Below are 22,072 nucleotides of genomic sequence, written 5' to 3'. Positions count from 1 at the left end.
ATCGCCAAGGGGCGGGCGGCGGGAGGAGATGGAGGCGGAGCTGGAAAGAGAGCCAATCAGGTGCCAGGACGAAGCTCTTAGGTGACAATCCCTGACCCAGACGGGGCGGAGTCCAAGCATGGGGGCGGGGAGAGGAGGGCATATGCAAAATAAGTGACGTGCCGGGCGACTCCGGTTTCCCGATTGGCCGAGGGTTTAGTCTTGAGGGCGGGCATGTTGAGGGCTGGTTGATGACTTGGCTAAAGAGGTCCAGCAGGAGGGGCAGTGGGTTCCTTTTGGACGCATGCGCAGGATGCACGTGTGTTTCCTGGCCCAGAACAAACCGTGGCCCCATAGTAGTCGTTTGAACTGTCGCGAAACGGACAGGCACTGCGTTAAGCCAACTGTGTTAAAGATTGTTCCTCTCCTCTGATCGCTTCTGTACTTCCACCCCCTCTGGAGTGGCAACCATTACTTTTCTTCTTTACCGGTTGATTGTGAAAGTGAGAGGAGCAGTGAGCCTGAAGTTTAGGTCCCATTTACTAAAAGATCTTTCATAGGCTGGTTGGTAGGTAGAAAGGGATTTTGTCTGAACTCCACCCTCTGGATTATGTTTACCAAGGTCAAGTTCAATAAATCCTATCGTCAAGTCCCTAATCTGTAAAGTGGGTATACTATTTCTTACAAGATAGGGGGATGGAGGGAAGAGAGTCAACATTATTAGCTGCTCAGCACATTGCTTAACGCCCTGACTTGAGTCTAGATGATGATACAGTTTATCCTTAGCTTCTATCCCTGATAAAAGGAGGGGACTGTCTTATCATAGGGGTGGAGACCAAAATGCCCAGGCGAAAGCCAGGTTTAAATGGGTTTAAAGCCCATTTAAATACCCTTGGGGCCTTGAAAATGAAATGAATTCTATATGCAAAAGGTGGTCTAAAGTAAGCTCTTAAACTTTCTACTTCCTCCTTCTAAAAGCAGAAGAGGGAGCTGTCACAACCATTGAGGAAATGACTCAGACAAATGTTGGTAGCCATATGGGGTAGATAGAATCCAGCCAGTAAATGGAGAGACTTCTTCGTCTTTTCCTTTACAGTTACCCCATTAAAGTTTCTCTTTTCCTACCCCCTACTTACACTGCTATTAAAGAATTAACTTCTGGCTGGGCGCGGTGGCTCACGCCTGTAATCCCAGCACTTCAGGAGGCCGAGGCAGGCGCATCACCTGAGGTCAGGAGTTCGAGACCAGCCTCACCAAAATAATGAAACCCCGTCTCTACTAAAAACACGAAAATTAGCCGGGCGTAGTGGCTAACGCCTGTAATCCCAGCTACAGGTTGAGGCTGGAGAATTGCTTGAACCCGGGGGTGCGGAGGTTGCAGTAAGCCGAGATCGCCTCATTGCAATCCAGCCTGGGCAACAACAGTGAAACTCCGTCTCAAAAAAAAAAAAAAAGTCTAACTTCTGAATGTCAAAAGAAATCAAGGACCTAGCCTTGGCCAGCAAGTAGCTTGAGCTTATACATATACTATTCCCCAAACATGAACAGCTCCCAAGGTGACTTCCTTCTATGACAACATATATCTTCCTGTGATGCAGGCCAGGTTCAGTACTGCCCATCACCATCACCCTCCCTTACCATCGCTAATCAAATTTATTTTCTTTCTTTTTTTTCTTTCCTTCTTTTTTCTCCCTTCCTCTTTTCTTTCCTTCTTTTCTTCCTCCCCCCTCTTTCTTCCTTCCTCCCTCCCTCTCTTTCATTTATTTATTTATTTATTTACTTACTTATTTTTTGAGGCAAAGTCTTGCTCTTGTCACCAGGCTGGAGTGCAATGGCATGTCAGCTCGCTGCAACCTCTGCCTCCCAGGATCAAGCGATTCTCCTGCCTTAGCCTCCTGAGTAGCTGGGATTACAGGCACCCGCCACCACACCCAGCTAATTTTTGTATTTTTAGTAGAGACGGGGTTTCACCATGTTGGCCAGGCTGGTCTCAAACTCCTGACCCTCGTGATCCACCCACCTCAGCCTCCCAAAGTGCTGGAATTACAGGTGTGAGCCACCATGCCCGGCCCTCTCCCTCTCTTTCTTTCCTCATCTATGAAGCACTTATTTTGCTATATTTCGGGCAAAGTGCTTTATTCAAAAGTGAGTAATTTGTGATTCCTGCATTCAATTCCCTTATAATCTAGAAGAGAAGATCTAGATATAAATAAGTTTCAGTTATTTATATCTTTCTTAAGTCCTTATCAATTCATCATTGTCTTGAAAGAATTAATGACTTGAGAAAATACACAGAAGGAACAGTAGTTGAGGGCTGACGCTGCAGAATTTCCCACTACATTTTTCAGTGTGATTGATGGCATGATCCCAGAACTTGATCATGTGTAAGAAATTCAGGTCAGGCCAGTAGAGAGACCAGTGTCTTTGTGGTTGTGTCATTGTTTGTAGTAATTCTCTCCTCTGTGAAGCTGGTCCCTTCCTCTTTGAATCACCTGCCCTAAAATTGACAGCATCTGTTCCCATCAGTTGCTCCTTTTAAACCTCCCCTACCACCCTTCTCCAGATTGGTTGCACAGTGCCCTGAATCATGCTATCATTATCATCGTTACCAGACACCCCCTCATCTTTGAAGCATCCTTCTGCCCTCTCTCTCTTTTTTTCTTTTTAAGAGGCGGGGCTCAAGCAATCCTCTGGCTTCAGCCTCCAGAGTAGCTGGGACTACAGGCAGGTGCCATCATGTACAGCTGAATTTTTTTTTTTTTTTTTTTACATTTTTAGAGAAAGGGATCTTGCTATGTTGCCCAGGCTGGTCTGGAACTCCTGGGCTCAATTGATCCTGCTGCCTTGGCCTCCTGAGTAGCTGGGATCACAAGTAGGAGCCGCTGTGCCCGGCTCCTCCAGCTCTCTCTTGACAGAGGTGTCTTCCCCTCTGCTGTCCAATGTGTTTGGACCGTCTGCATACTTAAAGCAAACAGACTTTCACTTGTACTTGCCAGATGGAAAACTTGTATAGTAATGCAGACTATTCCCAGGTATTTCTGCACATCTTCCAAGGTTCCTAATGCTGTCTGAACATGGCAGTTTCCCTCTGGGTCCTCTGAAGTGGTGCAATCCGAAGGACATCATATATCTCCCTCAACAAGGCCTGCTGAGTTCCAATATTCCATGAGCTCAAGAGCTGGCAAAGGGCAGTTGAGCCCAGCCCCATTGTTTCTGAGTTCTTTTCTGCTGAGCTATTTGATCCAAGATCCATTCTGCTACCTAGGCTGGAAATTCCACTCATGCTCAGCTCAAAGGAATGCAGCTCATGCTGGCCAAAGTGTTCACCAGGAAATGGGTGGCTAGAATTCTTCTTTTCATTTCTGGTTTCCTCTCTAACATCTGTAAGGCCAACTATGCCACTGCCTGAACTGTCCCCTTTTCAACTGGGGAGCAACTACTTACAGGTCATCTCTTCTGGGAGTCTTTTCTTATTCTCTACAGGCAGCTTGATTTCCTAAACTTCAGAGGCCCAGAGTCTTTTCATTTGGTATGATCGTTGATGCCTTCCTGGTATTCGCATGATTGGTTTGTTATTTAACCACTCTCATTCATTCACTCAAGTATATAAAACATGTATTTAATGAGCACCTACTATATGCCGGGCCCTATGTTAGGAGTTAAAGGAGAGATAAGCCCTGCCTTCACAGAGCTTATTGTACACTAAGCTGGTAACTAGAAGGAGACACACAGGAACACCTACAAAAGCACATTGAAAACTCTTGAAGGCAGGAATGGCATTGAGCATATAGCCTATATCACACAAGCATTTAACTGATGTTTGTAAAATGAAAAATGTCTCCATTAATCTCCAGTTTTCCACATTAACAGAGGACTGCACAAATCATGGACTCTAAAAGTGTTTCCTTGTTGGCTTATGAGCATAGGCTAACTCTGCCACACATAACAAATAATTCAACCTTCTCCCTCAACCTCAAGTTCCTCCTTAGCTCATTTTTGACATTAGGGTCCTAGTTGGAGGATACATGGAGAGCAAGAGGAGGCCCCAGACAACAGCAACTATCCAGGAGAGCTTATTTCCAGAAAGAGAAAAGGGCTGCCATACACCCCCCTTCTCCTAGACACAGACACACACACACACACATACACCCACCACCATGGCTTGAGAAGGGAGTCAGACTCATTAACCCCACCCCCAATGGGTCTGGTTTGCTGATTGTTGAACCACATAAAATTGCTGCTATTTGACTGTTTTTGACCTGCCAAAAACAATCATTTCAAAAGGTTAAACCTAACATATTAGAAAATAAACCAAAAAGTTCTGTAAATAAATGAAAAGCTTGGGAACAACCAACCTATCCATCAAGGTGACCTCCTTGAGTGTCTCGGTGAGGGAAGGGCTGCAATGTGATGACAATTGAATGATCAGCAACCGAATCAACTTTATTGTATGGAGAATGTGTGAACTGAAGGATGAGGGAAGAGCCTGGAGAGTAGAAAAGAGGAAGGAAAAAGAAATAGGATAAAGCCATGAGGCCAGAAGTTGGCACTTATTACCCACCACTGTCCAAGAAAGAGCAGTGTGAAATTTGTTTTCACATAGACGTGCCCTGCTGTAAGGTGGAGATGATTCAGTAGACCGCACCCTGATTTGGCTGAAATAGCCCTCAAAAGGTCAGCTTTCCTTAACTCTTGGGATACACTCACCAACCAGCCTGTTGATGACTAACTTGACTCTCTGAGACTGCTGATATTGGGAAAAGGGTGCCCTAGTTGGGAGAGGAACATTCCAGTTACTGAAAGACTAACACTGTTAATGAATACATTGGTATGTATGTGGTTATATAGTTTGGCCTCTTATGAGTTGGATTGCTGGGAGTCAGGCTTTTTCAGGGAGATGAACCCTGACAGGACACTGATATGACTATGACCCAGGTTCAGCTCTGTGGCAAATTCGCCAAGGAAAAGCTACTCTGGGTGGCCACTTTGGGAGCCAGTCAAACGACTCTGGCACAAAGCAAGACATTCTGACTCAATCGTTTTGATCACAGAGTGCAAGGGGTATAATTACGTGGGCAAGACACGATTATTCTGTTCCTGACCCTAGCTCCATTCTTGATCTTACTTCATGATCCAACAGCTACATGTGAGATTGTCTGGCATTTTCTGCTTCTGACTCAGAGCCTCCGTATTCCTGGTTACTAGGTCACTAGGTCAATGGTATTGTCATCCTCTTTAGGCTGACAAAAAGCAGAGAGAGGGTCAGAGTGCAGGGAGTGCAGGGAAACCTTCTGCGTGCTGGGTGGAAGGCAAATCCTATACTTTCTCTCGGGGACCTTGCTTTTTACTTGGTGGTCAAGCGCATGCTTTCTAGAGTCAAATCTAGGTTCGAGTACCAGCTCTGCCTCCTCCTAGCAAGTCACTTAACTTCTCTGCATCACAGGTTTTTTCACCTGTAAAGTATGGATGATAAGCACAACTGCCTCCTGGAGTTGTGAGGATGAAATGTGGACATGAATTTAAGACCACTCAGCTCTAGTGCTTGGCAAATAGAAAAACCAATTAATGTTACAATTAGTGTGAGGGATGATGATGGTGATGATGATGATGGCATGTATCTTGATTTATAATTACACGGTGGGGGGTCTGTGGTTATTTATTATTATTTTTTTTTACAGAGTCTTGCTCTGTCACCAGGCTGCAGTGCAGTGACGCGATCTCGGTTCACTGCAACCTCTGCCTCCTGGGTTTGAGCGATCCTCCCGCCTCAGCCTCCCAAGAAGCTGGGACTACAGGCACGCGCCACCACGCCCAGCTAATTTTTTGTATTTTTAGCAGAGATAGCGTTTCACCATGTTCGTCAGTGATTTCGATCTCCTGACCTTGTGATCTGCCCGCCTCGGCCTCCCAAAGTGCTGGGATTACAGGTGTGAGCCACCTCACCCAGCCGGATTATTCTCTTATCTGTCCTCCCTAACTCTGCCACTCATTCATTACTGTGTCCTCAGTGTGTTCTTTTTTTATTTTTAGTTTTTTTTTGAGACAGTGTCTCACTCTGTCACCCAGGCTGGAGTGCACTGGCGCAATCTTGGCTCACTACAACCTTCGCCTCCCAGGTTCGAGCGATCCTCCTGCCTCAGCCTTCCGAGTAGCTGGGATTACAGGCTAACACCACCACGCCTGGCTAATTTTTGTATTTTTGGTAGAGATGGGGTTTCACCATTTTGGCCAGGTTTTGAACTCCTGGCCTTAAGTGATACACCCACCTCAGCCTCCCAAAGTACTGGGATTGCAGGCGTGAGCCACTGCGCTTGGCCATACATTTGCAGTTTCTAGATATGAAATAGCTTGGTATTTGGGGCTTTTCTCTCAAGTGTTCTGATTATATATAGTTTCTGTTCCTCATGCTAAACCATCCGTGACCTCAAAATGACTGAAATAGGCTGGGTGCAGTGGCTCACGTCTGTAATCCCAGCCCTTTGGGAGGCCGAGGCAGGAGGATCACGAGGTCAGGAGTTCGAGACCAGCCTGACTAACATGGTGAAACCCCATATCTACTAAAAATACAAAAGAAAAAAAATTTGGCCAGGCATGGTGGCAGGCACCTGTAATCACAGCTATTCGGGAGGCTGAGGCAGAAGAATCGCTTGAACCCCAGAGGTGGAGGTTGCAGTGAGCCAAGATGACGCCATTGCACTCCAGCCTGGGTGACAGAGCGAGACTCCATCTCAAAAAAAAAAAAAAAAAAAAATCACTGAAGCAAAATGACCACTCCCAAGTTTCCTGTCTGGTTAGTGACACTGGCTCATTCCTGAGTACCTTACTGCTACCTGCTTTCTCACTCAGTCTTTTTGGGAGCTGAGGAGTCACTCTCCCTCTCAGACCAAATAGAACTGGACTGAGGGTGGGGGCAAAAGTAGCCTCAGATAATCACTGATTATTCTCCTATGGAATAATTTGATGGCTGTGACCCAACCCACTTCGTGGATTTAATCCTAGACCATGTGATTCTGGGATCTGCTCCCCCAACCCCTTCCTGGCCTCAGGCAGGCCTCTCCATGCAATGGGAAGCCCAACCTGAGGATGGCCAGAAGATAGAAATTGAAAATTTTATGAAGCTCTCTGGGGCTTTTTCCCTTGTTGCTGGCAAATCTTGTCCTCGTGGGCATCTGTGGGCCAAGAGGCCCTGGAGGAACAAAGTGCATGTCATGTATTTGTAAACAATTGTGAATTTGGCCTGGCAAGGAGGCATGAACCTGTAGTCCCAGCTACTTGGGAGTCTGAGGAGGGAGGATTGCTGAGGCCAAGAGTTCGAGGCTATAGTACACTACAATCACATCTGTGAATAGCCACTGCACGCCAGCCCAAAGTGCTGGGATTACAGGCATGAGCCACCTCAACTGGCCTGGATTTGTTTTGAAAGATAATTCGATGCTGGGCATGGTGGCTCACACCAATAATCCCAGCACTTTGGGAGGTCGAGGTGGGTAGATTACCTGAGGTCAGGAGTTCAAGACCAGCCTGGCCAACAGGGTGAAAGCCCATCTCTACTAAAAATACAAAATTAGCCGGGTGTAGTGGCACATGCCTGTAATCTCAGCTGCTTGGGAGGCTGAGGCAGGAGAATCGCTTGAATCTGGGAGACAAAGGTTGCAGTGAGCTGAGATCATGCCACTGCACTCCAGCCTGGGCAACAGAGTGAGACTGTCTCAAAAAAAGGAAAGATAATATGATATATTTTGTGTTTTGTGGGGTTATTTTTACATACCTTACCTCCTCCTCTAAAGGCTTAAGTAGAAAGAAAGCAATAGAAACGTATATTTAGGGCCACGTGCGGTGGCTCACACCTGTAATCCCAGCACTTTGGGAGGCCGAGGGAGGTGGATCACAAGGTCAGGAGTTCAAGACCAGCCTGGCCAATATGATGAAACCCCGTCTCTACTAAAAATACGAAAAAAATTAGCCGAGCGTGGCGGCGGGCACCTGGAATCCCAGCTACTTGGGAGGCTGAGGCAGAAGAATCGCTTGAACCCAGGAGGCAGAAGTTGCAGTGAGCCGAGATCACATCATTGCACTCCAGCCTAGGCAACAGAGCAAGACTCCGTCTCAAAAAGAAAAAGAAAAAGAAAAAAAGAAACATATATTTAGGAAAGTAAGATGTATGGAAGTATGAAGCTGGTACAAAACATGTATGTCTTAATGATCTGGGAAGTTGTTTTTTGGGGTTGGGGACAGGGCAAGTCAGGGACTGAGCTTCCTAGCATTTCCCTAGGTGACGTCCCCAGGAAATTTCTATCTCAGCCACTGATGATAATGTTGAATTCAGGGCCAAAGCTAGGTCATTGTCCCAGATTCTCACAATCTGGGGAATCTGGGCAGTATGAACAATTGTGTATCCTTCCATCTAAAAAGTATCATGCCTCTGCAAAGCTCCCTCTGCTCCAGCACGTCCTGTATTTTTTCAACTTTGGATGTTTGCACAAGCTATTATCTTTTGCAAGAATGTCCTGCCCCCTCCTATCCATCTGTGGAAGTCAACCTTTCTTTAGGGCCCAGAGGAAAACCTATCACCTTCTACACCTTCCCAGATGCCCACCATTTGGGTTAAACTCTGCCTCCTCCAGGTTTGCCATGGTCTTTTCCCTCTCTTAAAGCACTGGTCCCAGCCTATGCCATTGTGTGTCACCTTGGCTCCTGTCTCCTACTGGCTGTAGATCTTTGGGAGGGGAGGAACTGGGGAATTTTCATCCTGGGGCTATGGGATAGTGCTTACCCCTAAGTATAAAATAAGCAAGAATCCTTGAATTGAAAAGCTCCAGTGACTTGATAGCTTCCAACAGCCCCTAAAGATGGGGTAGTCCACTGCTCCCTATATAGGAAGGAAGAGGTTCACAGTCTCATGGATTTAGCAGCCTTCGTAGCCTCAGGATCTTTCCCAATGTCCCCAGTTCTCCTGCTGGGCCAGCTGTGGTCTCTGAGAATGCTCAGTTCCCTGGGCTAGGCTGGCTTATGGGGCCCTCCCTCCTGGACCTGGGTCCATGTGACCAAGTGGCCAGCCAGCGAGAGAGCCCTGGGTGATGAGCATCTGGAAGTCAGCTTGCTTGTCTGCCCTAATCACAGCCCTGGGCTCTACCCTCAAGTACCCTACTCACATGGTCCAAGAGGGAACCACTCTCCTGTCATTCCCTCCCCTTCTGCTCCTCATCCTACCCACCCAGCTGTTCTGGGCAAGATCCTGTGGGCATGATGGAATCCTCCCTTTTCTCTACCATCCATCCCTTTGATCACCTAATCCTACAACTGCCCTCCAACCAAGGTGTTCTTTCTATACCAAAAAATCTGATCAGGCCATCACTCCTCTGTTTAAAACCATTCAACGGCTACCCACTGCCCTCAGGATAAAAACTAAAATTCTTAACAGGATTTACAAATTCTTCACCTGGCCCTTTTGAGATAAGAGGATTTATAATCTTTTCAAAGCCAACAAGCATCCTGAGACAATCTTAATTTTTGCAGCTGTCCAAGCTATTTAAGATTGATGAGGTCTGCACTAAGTTGTTAAATGGTGATTAATTTATCTGGCCTGAATGGCATGTGAATTCCAAGGGGATCATTTTTCTCTACCTTCCTTGCTGCACATTGGGACACAGCAAGGCCAGGACACCCTTCTTAGGTGACTGGGTAACCAGGTTCATTAAGGCAGTCAGCACAGAGAAGAAGCAGAAAATGGGGAGGAGTTGTGTAAATGAAATTGCCGATAATACCAAAGGAACCCCAAGAGAGGTTCAGTCTCCCAACAATTGCAGCTTTGCTGCAACATGGCAGGGTGGGGCAGGGGTAGGTTTGGATCTGGGCTGCTTTGCCATGGAAGTGGGGTTACAGGGCAGGGAGAGGCTTACCATCACTGAGCATCTTTAATTGACTTTGTCATTTTACTGAGAACTTACAAATTGAGCTATTCTTCATTGAGTTATATTTGGAAGCAGGTTCAATACATAATACAGTCCTCCCTCTAGAATTTCTGCTTTATGTCCACGTGATGCAGCTTGTTCATTTCTGAATTCCTTTTAATGACAAAAACATTTGGAAGGAATGTAAAGACTCAAAAAGGGGATGGCATGTAAACTATAGTTGGAACAATATGTGGCCATTTAAAAGAAGTGTTGTCCAGGAGGTGGAGGTTGCAGTGAGCTGAGATTGCACCACTGCACTCTAGCCTGGGCCATAGAATGAGACTCCTTCTCAAAAAAAAAAAGAAAAAAAAAGGTAAACATAAATAAATTAAAGGAGGATTTTGGAGTCTTTGCAGCCACATGAAAAACCACACATGATGTCATACTAAGGGGAATGTAGAACACCATCAGTGCCGGGCGCGGTGGCTCGTGCCTGTAATCCCAGCACTTTGGGAGGCTGAGGCAGGCGGATCACGAGGTCAGGAGATCGAGACCATCCTGGCTAACACGGTGAAACCCCGTCTCTACTAAAAATACAAAAAATTAGCTGGGCGTGGTGGCGGGCACCTGTAGTCCCAGCTACTCGGGAGGCTGAGGTAGGAGAATGGCGTGAACCCAGGAGGCGGAGCTTGCAGTGAGCTGAGATCGCACCACTGCACTCCAGCCTGGGCGACAGAGCGAGACTCCGTCTCAAAAAAAAAAAAAAAAAAAAAAAAAGAACACCATCAGAACCCAGAAAGGTGGTGCAGCTATGTGAGATGGTGACAAGAACATGGATTTTCTAGCTGGATAGACCGGACTGGGAGTTCAGTTTCCATTTCCCCCACTTACAAGCTGTGTGATCATCTGCAAGCTCATTAACTTCTCTGGGCTTTAGTTTTCTTCTTTTTTATTTTTGTTTTCCCTTTTGTTTTAAGCTCCTTACTACCATCATTGAATCTTTGCTTTTAAAATGTGGGCCAGGAGTGGTGGCACATTGCTGTAATCCCAATGCTTTGGGCAGCCAAGGAAGGAGGATCGCTTCAGGCCAGGAATTAGCCAGGCATGGTGGCTCATGCCTGTAGTCCCAGCTACTCTGCAGGCTGAGGCAGTGGGTTGGGATGGGAGGGTCACATAAGCCCTGAAGTAAGAGGTTGCAGTGAGCTAATATTGTGACACTGCACTCCAGCCTGGGTCACAGAGTGAGACCTGCCTCTGAAAAAAGAGAAAGAAAGAAAAAGTAAAATATGGGTAAAACACAAGCTTGATTGTTTTCAGTATTGGATAAGGTAATTCATGAGGCTGGGCACAGTAGCTCACGCCTGTAATCCCAGTGCTTTGAAAGGTGGAAGCAGGCAGGTCTCTTTTATTTTCCCAGCTGTTTCAGTTATCTATTGCTATGTAACAAACTGGCCTGAAAGTTAGTGGCTTAAAACAACTACTTCATTATATTTCAGTTTTAAAATCAGAAATTTAGGCAAGTCTCAGCCATGGAATTCTTCTGCTCTTTGTGGCATTCACTAAAGCCACTCAATAGTCTATCTGATGACTGAACTGGTGTGGAGGGTCAAGATACCTTCCTTATTCATAGGGCTGGTACTGGGCTCATTTGAAACTCTTTAATTTTTAATTTTTATTTTTTGCTCTTCAGTCCTACCTGTGGCCTCTGCAGTATGGAGGTCTCAGTGTAAATGCATTTTTACATGGTGGCTCAGGACTTCTAGAGTGAGTGTCTGAAGGACAGGAAGGGGAAGCTGCCAGACTCTTAAGACCTGGGCCTGGAGAGTGGCACAGAATCACTTCTGCTGTGTTCTTTTTTTTTTTTTTTTTTTTTTTTTTGACAGAGTCTCCCTCTGTCACCCAGGCTGGAGTGTGGAGTGCAGCCCTGCGATCTTGGCTCACTGCAACCTCTGCCTCGTGGGTTCAAGGGATTCTCCTGCCTCAGCCTCCCAAGAAGCTGGGACTACAGGTGTGTGCCACCACATTCAAATAATTTTTGTATTTTTAGTAGAGACAGGGTTTCACTATGTTGGCTAGGCTGGTCTTGAACCCCTAACCTCAAGTAATCCACCCACCACAGCCTCCCAAAGTGCTAGGATTACAAGCATGAGCCACCGCACCTGGGCTTACTTCTACCGTGTTCTATTGTTCAAGTGGTTACAGAGCCTGCCCAGATTCAAGGAGAGAGTACAGAGACCCCACATCTCCATGGGAGGAATGTTGCAGAATTCAGAGCCATTTTTAACCTACTTCAGCAACTGTCTGAAAGATATAATATTAATATTAACATTTGTTTTAAAGTTAAATATCAAAATGTTTCCCTGGGAAGATACCTGGCCATTGATTTATGGGGTGTGGTGGTTTCTTGGAGTCAGACAGAGCTGGTGTTCTTATGCCAGGCAGGCACTTAAATTTTCTGAGCTGCAATTTCCTTATCTCTAAAACGGGGATAATAATTTTGTTTGCATTTCATGATTGGTTTGATCATTTAAAAGATCATAGGCCAAGCACGGTGGCACATGCATATAATCCCAGCACTTTGGGAGGCCAAGGTGGGTGGATCACTTAAGGTCAAGGGTTCGAGACCAGCCTGGCCAACATGGTGAAACCCCACCTCTATTAAAAATACAAAATTATCCAGGTGTGGTGTTGTGTGCCTGTAATCCCAGTTACTTGGGAGGCTGAGGCAGGAATCGCTTGAACCTGAGAGGCAGAGGTTGCAGTGAGCCGAGATTGCGCCACTGCATTCCAGCCTAGGCGACAGAGTGAGACTCCTCAAAACAATAAAATGAAACAAAATGAAAAGATAATACAGCTGGGTGGGGTGGCTCACATCTATTATACAATCCCAGCACTTTGGGAGGCTGAGGCGGGTGGATCGCCTGAGGTCAGGAGTTTGAGACCATCCTGACCAATATGGTGAAACCCTGTCTCTACTAAAAATACAAAAATTAGTTGGGCTTGGTGGTGCGTGCCTGTAGTCCCAGCTACTCAAGAGGCTGAGGTGGGGAGAATCGCTTGAACTGGGGAGGCAGAGGTTGCAGCCAGCCGAGATCACACCACTGCACTCTAGCCTGGGTGACAGAGCAAGACTCTGTCTTGAAAAAAAAAATGATAATATATGTAAAGTGTTTTTCTTTTATTTTTGAGTTGGAGTCTTGCTCTGTCACCCAAGCTGGAGTGCAGTGGTGTGATCTAGGCTCACTGTAACCTTCACCTCCCAGGTTCAAGCAAATCTCCTGCTTCAGCCTCCAGAGTAGTTGGGACTACAGGCAGCTGCCACCACACTGGGCTTGTTTTTGTATTTTTAGTAGAGACAGAGTTTCACCATGTTGGCCAGGCTGGTCTCAAACTCCTGAGCTCAAGTAATCTGCCCACCTCGGCCTCCCAAAGTGCTGGGATTACAGGCATGAGCCACCGCACCTGGCCTTGTAAACTGTTTTTAAAAGCATGTCTTCCCTTTCTGAAAATTTATCATTGACTATAGGGGCAAACCATTTGTCAAGTCTTTCTCTTGCCTAGATGGGACCCCTCTGCTAGTGTCCTCTGGTGGAAGGGCACCTAGTGATTGGCTGTGGCCCCAGGCAGAATCCTGCTGTCCAGGAGTCAGCCCACTTCCCCTTCAAGCATCAAGCAGACACATTTCTTCCCCAGTGAATGATGTACAGCAGAGCATTTTTAGAATCTTAACATTTTCCTGCTAAAAATCTTACAGCACTGAGAAGTGAAGGGATTTACCCACAGTTGCTCACCAGTTAGAGGCGGAGCAGGACAAGAGTCCAGCCCTGTGCCTGGCTCATGCAGGGATAAGTTTTATTTTTATTTATTTATTTATTGAGACAGAGTTTCACTCTTGTTGTCCAGGCTGGAGTGCAATGGCGCGATCTCGGCTCACTGCAACCTCCGCCTCCTGGGTTCAAGTGATTCTCCTGCCTCCGGCTCCCGAGTAGCTGGGATTACAGGCATGCACCACCATGCCCAGCTAATTTTTGTATTTTCAGTAGAGTCAGGGTTTCACTATGTTGGCCAGGCTGGTCTCAAACTCCTAACCTCAGGTGATCTGCCCACCTTGACCTCCCAAAGTGCTGGGATTACAGGCATGAGCCATCACACCCAGCCAAGGATAAGTTTTATTATCTCTATCTTTTGAGATTTTAAATACATAAGTAGTTTAGAGTCTCCCACAGTTTGGGTTGAATTCATTAGAGACACCACCAGGGCCTGGAATTTTAAACTACAAATTCAACTGGATACATATAGGACTATTCAGGTTATCTATTTCTTCTTGAGTGAATTTTGGTAGTTTGTGTCTTTCAAATAATTGATCCATTTCATTTAAGCTGCCAAATTTTTGGGTTGCAGTTGTTCGTAGCATACCCTTATTTCTCATAGTTTTGTAGTGCTTAAGCTGTGATTTTAACCCCATTCTCTCTGCCTCCAAGTTCTTTACTTTTAATCACTTTGTTCTATGGCAGCTGACTCCCCTTAGCTCACTGGAAGGGGAGATGATAGTTACCCTTTTCACAGATGAGAAAGCTGAGGATCAGAGAGGATATACATCTAGTTAGAGGAAGGGTCAAGATTTGAACCTAGGCCTGCTGTGACTGCAGAGTCAGTTTCTTCTTTTCATCATGTACTATTGCCCAACCCTTCCACCCTTCACTCGTCTCAATATCTCTGCCTTGCCTCAGACAAGGAAGCTAAATCTCTGGGGGTTGGACCACCATGGGCGTTTTGGGAAGCTCCCCGGGTGATTCTAACACGCGGTCAAGGTTGAGGTGCATTGTTGGGCCTGCTCAGTCAGTGGGGTCTGGCACAGCAGGCATACTGCAGTCAGCTCCTGAAGGATGAGTTGAGTTTGCCCAGCCACATGCCAAGTGTTACATGGGAGGCAGAGATGGCATAGGACTCAACTGGGTGGTTCTGCTCCCTGCAGTGTTGTCTGGGGTCATTTATGTGATGACATTCAAGTGGGAGCCTGTCTAGGGTGAGAATGACCAAGATAGGTTTCCTAACTTGTCTAGTGACTTAACTGGGGTGTCTGAAACAGCTGAGGGATGGCTAGTTACCTTCCTCTCTATGTGGTCTCTCATCATTTAGTAGTCAGACCTGAGCTTTCTTACAAGACAACTGGATCCTAAGAGGGCAAGAGTGAAAGCTGTGAGACCTCTTATGGCCCAGGCCTGGAACTGGCACAGTGTTACTTAGACTGCATTCCATTGGCATAACATGCCATGAGACCAGCCCCAGTTTGTCTTGCCAGACCCCTATTAACTCCAATAGGGATGGTATCATGTCCGAGAGGCCGAAGGAAAGCAAACAAGACACAGGATGTATTGGGTGAACTTAAATACAGCGATGCTCCAGTGGTGGCAGGCTGGATGGGAAAACAACTACCGTTTGTAAAAAGCATGCAGTTTATATAGCATTTGGGCACGGTGGCTGTAATCCTAGCACCTTTGGAGGCCAAGGCAGGTAGATAGCTTGCTCTATTTTTTTTTTAATTAAAAAAATATATATATACACACACACAGAGCACATTTATTTTTGAGATGGAGTCTCACTCTGTTGCCCAGGCTGGAGTGCAGTGGCATGATCTTGGCTTACTGCAACCTCTGCCTCCCGGGTTCAAGTGATTTTCCTGCCTCAGTCTCTCGAGTAGATGGGATTACTGGTGCGCACCACCACGCTCAGCTATTTTTGTATTTTTAGTACAGACGAGGTTTCACCATGTTGGCCAGGCTGGTCACAAACTCCTAACCTCAGGTGATCTGCCCGCCTCGGCCTCCCTAAGTGCTGGGATTACAGGTGTGAGCCATGGCGCCCAGCCTACACATAGCATTTTTATTTAGCAGCCTCCACCTAGCAACCTTCTTTTAACCCAAAACAAAGGGCGTTCATCCCCTGTATAGCCTGTGTTCCAAGGAATGGGCCAAGGATTCAAATGTCCTTCATTGATAATGAGTGAGTCTGTGGGTTGGCCACTCCCGGATTTCTTAGCTCGGAACGCCAAATGCACATTCTTCTTAGACCATAGGGTCATTCTCAGCATATGCTTAAGTTAAGTTATTGGTGTCAGGTGTGTCTGCCATACAAAGTTCAAAAAGAAGAGAAATAAACTTCACCTCTAGTTTTTTGGGCTTTTTTTCTTTTCTTTTTATTATTATTATACTTTAAGTTTTAGGGTACATGTACACAATGTGCAGGTTAGTTACATATGTGTACATGTGCCATGCTGGTGTGCTGCACCCATTAACTTGTCATTTAGCATTAGGTATATCTCCTAATGCTATCCCTCCCCACTCCCCCCACCCCACAACAGTCCCCAGAGTGTGATGTTCCCCTTCCTGTGTCCATGTGTTCTCATTGTTCAATTCCCATCTATGAGTGAGAACATGCGGTGTTTGGTTTTTTGTCCTTGTGATAGTTTGCTGAGAATGATGATTTCCAATTTCATCCACGTCCCTACAAAGGACATGAACTCATCATTTTTTATGGCTGCATAGTATTCCATGGTGTATATGTGCCACATTTTCTTAATCCAGTCTATCATTGTTGGACATTTGGGTTGGTTCCAAGTCTTTGCTATTGTGAATAGTGCCGCAATAAACATACATGTGCATGCGTCTTTATAGCAGCATGATTTATAGTCCTTTGGGTATATACCTAGTAATGGGATGGCTGGGTCAAATGGTATTTCTAGTTCTAGATCCCTGAGGAATCGCCACACTGACTTCCACAATGGTTGAACTAGTTTACAGTCCCACCAACAGTGTAAAAGTGTTCCTATTTCTCCACATCCTCTCCAGCACCTGTTGTTTCCTGACTTTTTAATGATCGCCATTCTAACTGGTGTGAGTTGGTATCTCATTGTGGTTTTGATTTGCATTTCTCTGATGGCCAGTGATGATGAGCATTTTTTCATGTGTCTTTTGGCTGCATAAATGTCTTCTTTCGAGAAGTGTCTGTTCATATCCTTTGCCCACTTTTTGATGGGGTTGTTTGTTTTTTTCTTGTAAATTTGTTTGAGTTCATTGTAGATTCTGGATATTAGCCCTTTGTCAGATGAATAGGTTGCGAAAATTTTCTCCTATTCTGTAGGTTGCCTGTTCACTCTGATGGTAGTTTCTTTTGCTGTGCAGAAGCTCTTTAGTTTAATTAGATCCCATTTGTCAATTTTGGCTTTTGTTGCCATTGCTTTTGGTGTTTTAGACATGAAGTCCTTGCCCATGCCTATGTCCTGAATGGTAATGCCTAGGTTTTCTTCTAGGGTTTTTATGGTTTTAGGTCTAAGGTTTAAGTCTTTAATCCATCTTGAATTAATTTTTGTATAAGGTGTAAGGAAGGGATCCAGTTTCAGCTTTCTACATATGGCTAGCCAGTTTTCCCAGCACCATTTATTAAATAGGGAATCCTTTCCCCATTGCTTGTTTTTCTCAGGTTTGTCAAAGATCAGATAGTTGTAGATATGCGGCGTTGTTTCTGAGGGCTCTGTTCTGTTCCATTGATCTATATCTCTGTTTTGGTACCAGTACCATGCTGTTTTGGTTACTGTAGCCTTGTAGTATAGTTTGAAGTCAGGTAGCGTGATGCCTCCAGCTTTGTTCTTTTGGCTTAGGATTGCCTTGGCGATGCGGGCTCTTTTTTGGTTCCATATGAACTTTAAAGTAGTTTTTTCCAATTCTGTGAAGAAAGTCATTGGTAGCTTGATGGGGATGGCATTGAATCTATAAATTACCTTGGGCAGTATGGCCATTTTCACGATATTGATTCTTCCTACCCATGAGCATGGAATGTTCTTCCATTTGTTTGTATCCTCTTTTATTTCATTGAGCAGTGTTTTGTAGTTCTCCTTGAAGAGGTCCTTCACGTCCCTTGTAAGTTGGATTCCTAAGTATTTTATTCTCTTTGAAGCAATTGTGAATGGGAGTTCACTCAGGATTTGGCTCTCTGTTTGTCTGTTATTGGTGTATAAGAATGCTTGTGATTTTTGTACATTGATTTTGTATCCTGAGACTTTGCTGAAGTTGCTTATCAGCTTAAGGAGATTTTGGGCTGAGACAATGGGGTTTTCTAGATATACAATCATGTCATCTGCAAACAGGAACAATTTGACTTCCTCTTTTCCTAATTGAATACCCTTTATTTCCTTCTCCTGCCTAATTGCCCTGACCAGAACTTCCAACACTGTGTTGAAAAGGAGTGGTGAGAGAGGGCATCCCTGTCTTGTGCCAGTTTTCAATGGGAATGCTTCCAGTTTTTGCCCATTCAGTATGACATTGGCTGTGGGTTTGTCATAGATAGCTCTTATTATTTTGAGATATGTCCCATCAATACCTAATTTATTGAGAGTTTTTAGCATGAAGGGTTGTTGAATTTTGTCAAAGGCCATTTCTGCATCTATTGAGATAATCATGTGGTTTTTGTCTTTGGTTCTGTTTATATGCTGGATTACATTTATTGATTTGCGTATATTGAACGAGCCTTGCATCCTAGGGATAAAGCCCACTTGATCATGGTGGATAAGCTTTTGGATGTGCTGCTGGATTCGGTTTGCCAGTATTTTATTGAGGATTTTTGAATCAATGTTCATCAAGGATATTGGTCTAAAATTCTCTTTTTTGGTTGTGTCTCTGCCCGGCTTTGGTATCAGGATGATGCTGGCCTCATAAAATGAGCTGAGGAGGATTCCCTCTTTTTCTATTGATTGGAATAGTTTCAGAAGGAATGGTACCAGTTCCTCCTTGTACCTCTGGTAGAATTTGGCTGTGAATCCATCTGGTCCTGGACTCTTTTTGGTTGGTAAGCTATTGATTATTGCCACAATTTCAGAGCCTATTATTGGTCTATTCAGAGATTCAACTTCTTCCTTGTTTAGTCTTGGGAGAGTGTATGTGTTGAGGAATGTATCCATTTCTTCTAGATTTTCTAGTTTATTTGCGTAGAGGTGTTTGTAGTATTCTCTGATGGTAGTTTGTATTTCTGTGGGATCGGTGGTGATATCCCCTTTATCATTTTTTATTGTGTCTATTTGATTCTTCTCTCTTTTTTTCTTTATTAGTCTTGCTAGCGGTCTATCAATTTTGTTGATCCTTTCAAAAAACCAGCTCCTGGATTCATTAATTTTTTGGAGGGTTTTTTTGTCTCTATTTCCTTCAGTTCTGCTCTGATTTTAGTTATTTCTTGCCTTCTGCTAGCTTTTGAATGTGTTTGCTCTTGCTTTTCTAGTTGTTTTAATTGTGATGTTAGGGTGTCAATTTTGGATCTTTCCTGCTTTCTCTTGTGGGCATTTGGTGCTATCAATTTCCTTCTACACACTGCTTTGAATGTGTCCCAGAGATTCTGGTATGTTGTGTCTTTGTTCTCATTGGTTTCAAAGAACATCTTTATTTCTGTCTTCATTTCATTATGTACCCAGTAGTCATTCAGGAGCAGGTTGTTCAGTTTCCATGTAGTTGAGTGGTTTTGACTGAGTTTCTTAATCCTGAGTTCTAGTTTGATTGCACTGTGGTCTGAGAGACAGTTTGTTATAATTTCTGTTCTTTTACATTTGCTGAGTAGAGCTTTACTTCCAAGTATGTGGTCAATTTTGGAATAGGTGTGGTGTGGTGCTGAAAAAAATGTATATTCTGTTGATTTGGGATGGAGAGTTCTGTAGATGTCTATTAGGTCCACTTGGTGCAGAGCTGAGTTCAATTCCTGGGTATCCTTGTTAACTTTCTGTCTCATTGATCTGTCTAATGTTGATAGTGGGGTGTTAAAGTCTCCCATTATTATTGTGTGGGAGTCTAAGTCTCTTTGTAGGTCACTCAGGACTTGCTTTATGAATCTGGGTGCTCCTGTGTTGGGTGCATATATATTTAGGATAGTTAGCTCTTCTTGTTGAATTGATCCCTTTACCATTATGTAATGGCCTTCTTTGTCTCTTTTGATCTTTGTTGATTTAAAGTCTGTTTTATCAGAGACTAGTATTGCAACCCCTGCCTTTTTTTGTTTTCCATTTGCTTGGTAGATCTTCCTCCATCCTTTTATTTTGAGCCTATGTATGTCTCTGCACGTGAGATGGGTTTCCTGAATACAGCACACTGATGGGTCTTGACTCTTTATCCAATTTGCCAGTCTGTGTCTTTTAATTGGAGCATTTAGTCCATTTACATTTAAAGTTAATATTGTTATGTGTGAGTTTGATCCTGTCATTATGATGTTAGCTGGTTATTTTGCTCGTTAGTTGATGCAGTTTCTTCCTAGTCTCGATGGTCTTTACATTTTGGCATGATTTTGCAGTGGCTGGTACTGGTTGTGCCTTTCCATGTTTAGTGCTTCCTTCAGGAACTCTTTTAGGGCAGGCCTGGTGGTGACAAAATCTCTCAGCATTTGTTTGTCTGTAAAGTATTTTATTTCTCCTTCACTTATGAAGCTTAGTTTGGCTGGATATGAGATTCTGGGTTGAAAATTCTTTTCTTTAAGAATGTTGAATATTGGCCCCCACTCTCTTCTGAATTGTAGGGTTTCTGCCGAGAGATCCGCTGTTAGTCTGATGGGCTTCCCTTTGTGAGTAACCCGACCTTTCTCTCTGGCTGCCCTTAACATTTTTTCCTTCAATTCAACTTTGGTGAATCTGACAATTATGTGTCTTGGAGTTGTTCTTCTCGAGGAGTATCTTTGTGGCATTCTCTGTATTTCCTGAATCTGAATGTTGGCCTGCCTTGCTAGATTGGGGAAGTTCTCCTGGATAATATCCTGCAGAGTGTTTTCCAACTTGGTTTCATTCTCCCCGTCACTTTCAGGTACACCAATCAGACGCAGATTTGGTCTTTTCACATAGTCCCATATTTCTTGGAGGCTTTGTTCGTTTCTTTTTATTCTTTTTTCTCTACACTTCCCTTCTCTCTTCATTTCATTCATTTCATCTTCCATCACTGATACCCTTTCTTCTAGTTGATCGCATCGGCTCCTGAGGCTTCTGCATTCTTCACGTAGTTCTCGAGCCTTGGCTTTCAGCTCCCTCAGCTCCTTTAAGCACTTCTCTGTATTGGTTATTCTAGTTATACATTCGTCTAAAGTTTTTTCAAAGTTTTCAACTTCTTTGCCTTTGGTTTGAATTTCCTCCTGCAGCTTGGAGTAGTTTGATCGTCTGAAGCCTTCTTCTCTCAACTCGTCAAAGTCATTCTCCATCCAGCTTTGTTCCATTGCTGGTGAGGAACTGTGTTCCTTTGGAGGAGGAGAGGCGCTCTGCTTTTTAGAGTTTCCAGTTTTTCTGCTCTGTTTTTTCCCCATCTTTGTGGTTTTATCTACTTTTGGTCTTTGATGATGGTGATGTACAGATGGGTTTTTGGTGTGGATGGCCTTTCTGTTTGTTAGTTTTCCTTCTAACAGATGGGACCCTCAGCTGCAGGTCTGTTGGAGTTTGCTAGAGGTCCACTCCAGACCCTGTTTGCCTGGGTATCAGCAGCAGTGTCTGCAGAACTGCAGATTTTCGCGATCCACGAATGCTGCTGTCTGATCGTTCCTATGGAAGTTTTGTCTCAGAGGAGTACCCGGCCGTGTGAGGTGTCAGTCTGCCCCTGCTGGGGGTGCCTCCCAGTTAGGCTGCTCGGGGGTCAGGGGTCAGGGACCCACTTGAGGAGGCAGTCTGCCCGTTCTCAGATCTCCAGCTGCGTGCTGGGAGAACCACTGCTCTCCTCAAAGCTGTCAGACAGGGACATTTAAGTCTGCAGAGGTTACTGCTGTCTTTTTGTTTGTCTGTGCCCTGCCCCCAGAGGTGGAGCCTACAGAGGCAGGCAGGCCTCTTTGAACTGTGGTGGGCTCCACCCAGTTCGAGCTTCCCAGCTGCTTTGTTTACCTAAGCGAGCCTGGGCAATGGCGGGTGCCCCTCCCCCAGCCTCGCTGCTGCCTTGCAGTTTGATCTCAGACTGCTGTGCTAGCAATCAGCGAGACTCCGTGGGCGTAGGACCCTCCGAGCCAGGTGCGGGATATAATCTCCTGGTGCGCCGTTTCCTAAGCCTGTCGGAAAAGCGCAGTATTTGGGTGGGAGTGGCCCAATTTTCCAGGTGCCATCTGTCACCCCTTTCCTTGACCAGGAAAGGGAACTCCCTTGCGCTTCCTGAGTGAGGCAATGCCTCGCCTTGCTTCGGCTGGCGCAAGGTGTGCTGCACCCACTG

The 22,072-nt window shown here is 45.1% G+C and overlaps 5 annotated features.

Moving 5' to 3' along the window:
* Positions 192–693: an enhancer, noted in NCBI's record as "NANOG hESC enhancer chr3:133291701-133292202 (GRCh37/hg19 assembly coordinates)". NCBI's record gives its function as "activates a minimal SCP1, AML or CMV promoter by ChIP-STARR-seq in naive H9 embryonic stem cells {active_cell/tissue: H9 hESC(naive)}" and the evidence as "EXISTENCE:reporter gene assay evidence [ECO:0000049][PMID:30033119]".
* Positions 192–875: a biological region, named in NCBI's record as "NANOG hESC enhancer GRCh37_chr3:133291701-133292202".
* Positions 366–535: an enhancer, noted in NCBI's record as "active region_20552". NCBI's record gives its function as "activates an Ori minimal core promoter by ATAC-STARR-seq in GM12878 lymphoblastoid cells {active_cell/tissue: GM12878}" and the evidence as "EXISTENCE:reporter gene assay evidence [ECO:0000049][PMID:35858748]".
* Positions 636–875: an enhancer, noted in NCBI's record as "active region_20551". NCBI's record gives its function as "activates an Ori minimal core promoter by ATAC-STARR-seq in GM12878 lymphoblastoid cells {active_cell/tissue: GM12878}" and the evidence as "EXISTENCE:reporter gene assay evidence [ECO:0000049][PMID:35858748]".
* Positions 21,414–21,913: an enhancer, noted in NCBI's record as "H3K4me1 hESC enhancer chr3:133270481-133270980 (GRCh37/hg19 assembly coordinates)". NCBI's record gives its function as "activates a minimal SCP1, AML or CMV promoter by ChIP-STARR-seq in naive H9 embryonic stem cells {active_cell/tissue: H9 hESC(naive)}" and the evidence as "EXISTENCE:reporter gene assay evidence [ECO:0000049][PMID:30033119]".

This window comes from Homo sapiens, chromosome 3, assembly GCF_000001405.40.
Source record: "Homo sapiens chromosome 3, GRCh38.p14 Primary Assembly".
In the NCBI taxonomy this organism is placed as follows: Eukaryota; Metazoa; Chordata; class Mammalia; order Primates; family Hominidae; genus Homo; species Homo sapiens.
The sequence above is the reverse complement of the archived record's forward strand: the minus strand, read 5'-3'. Positions and strand labels throughout refer to the sequence as shown.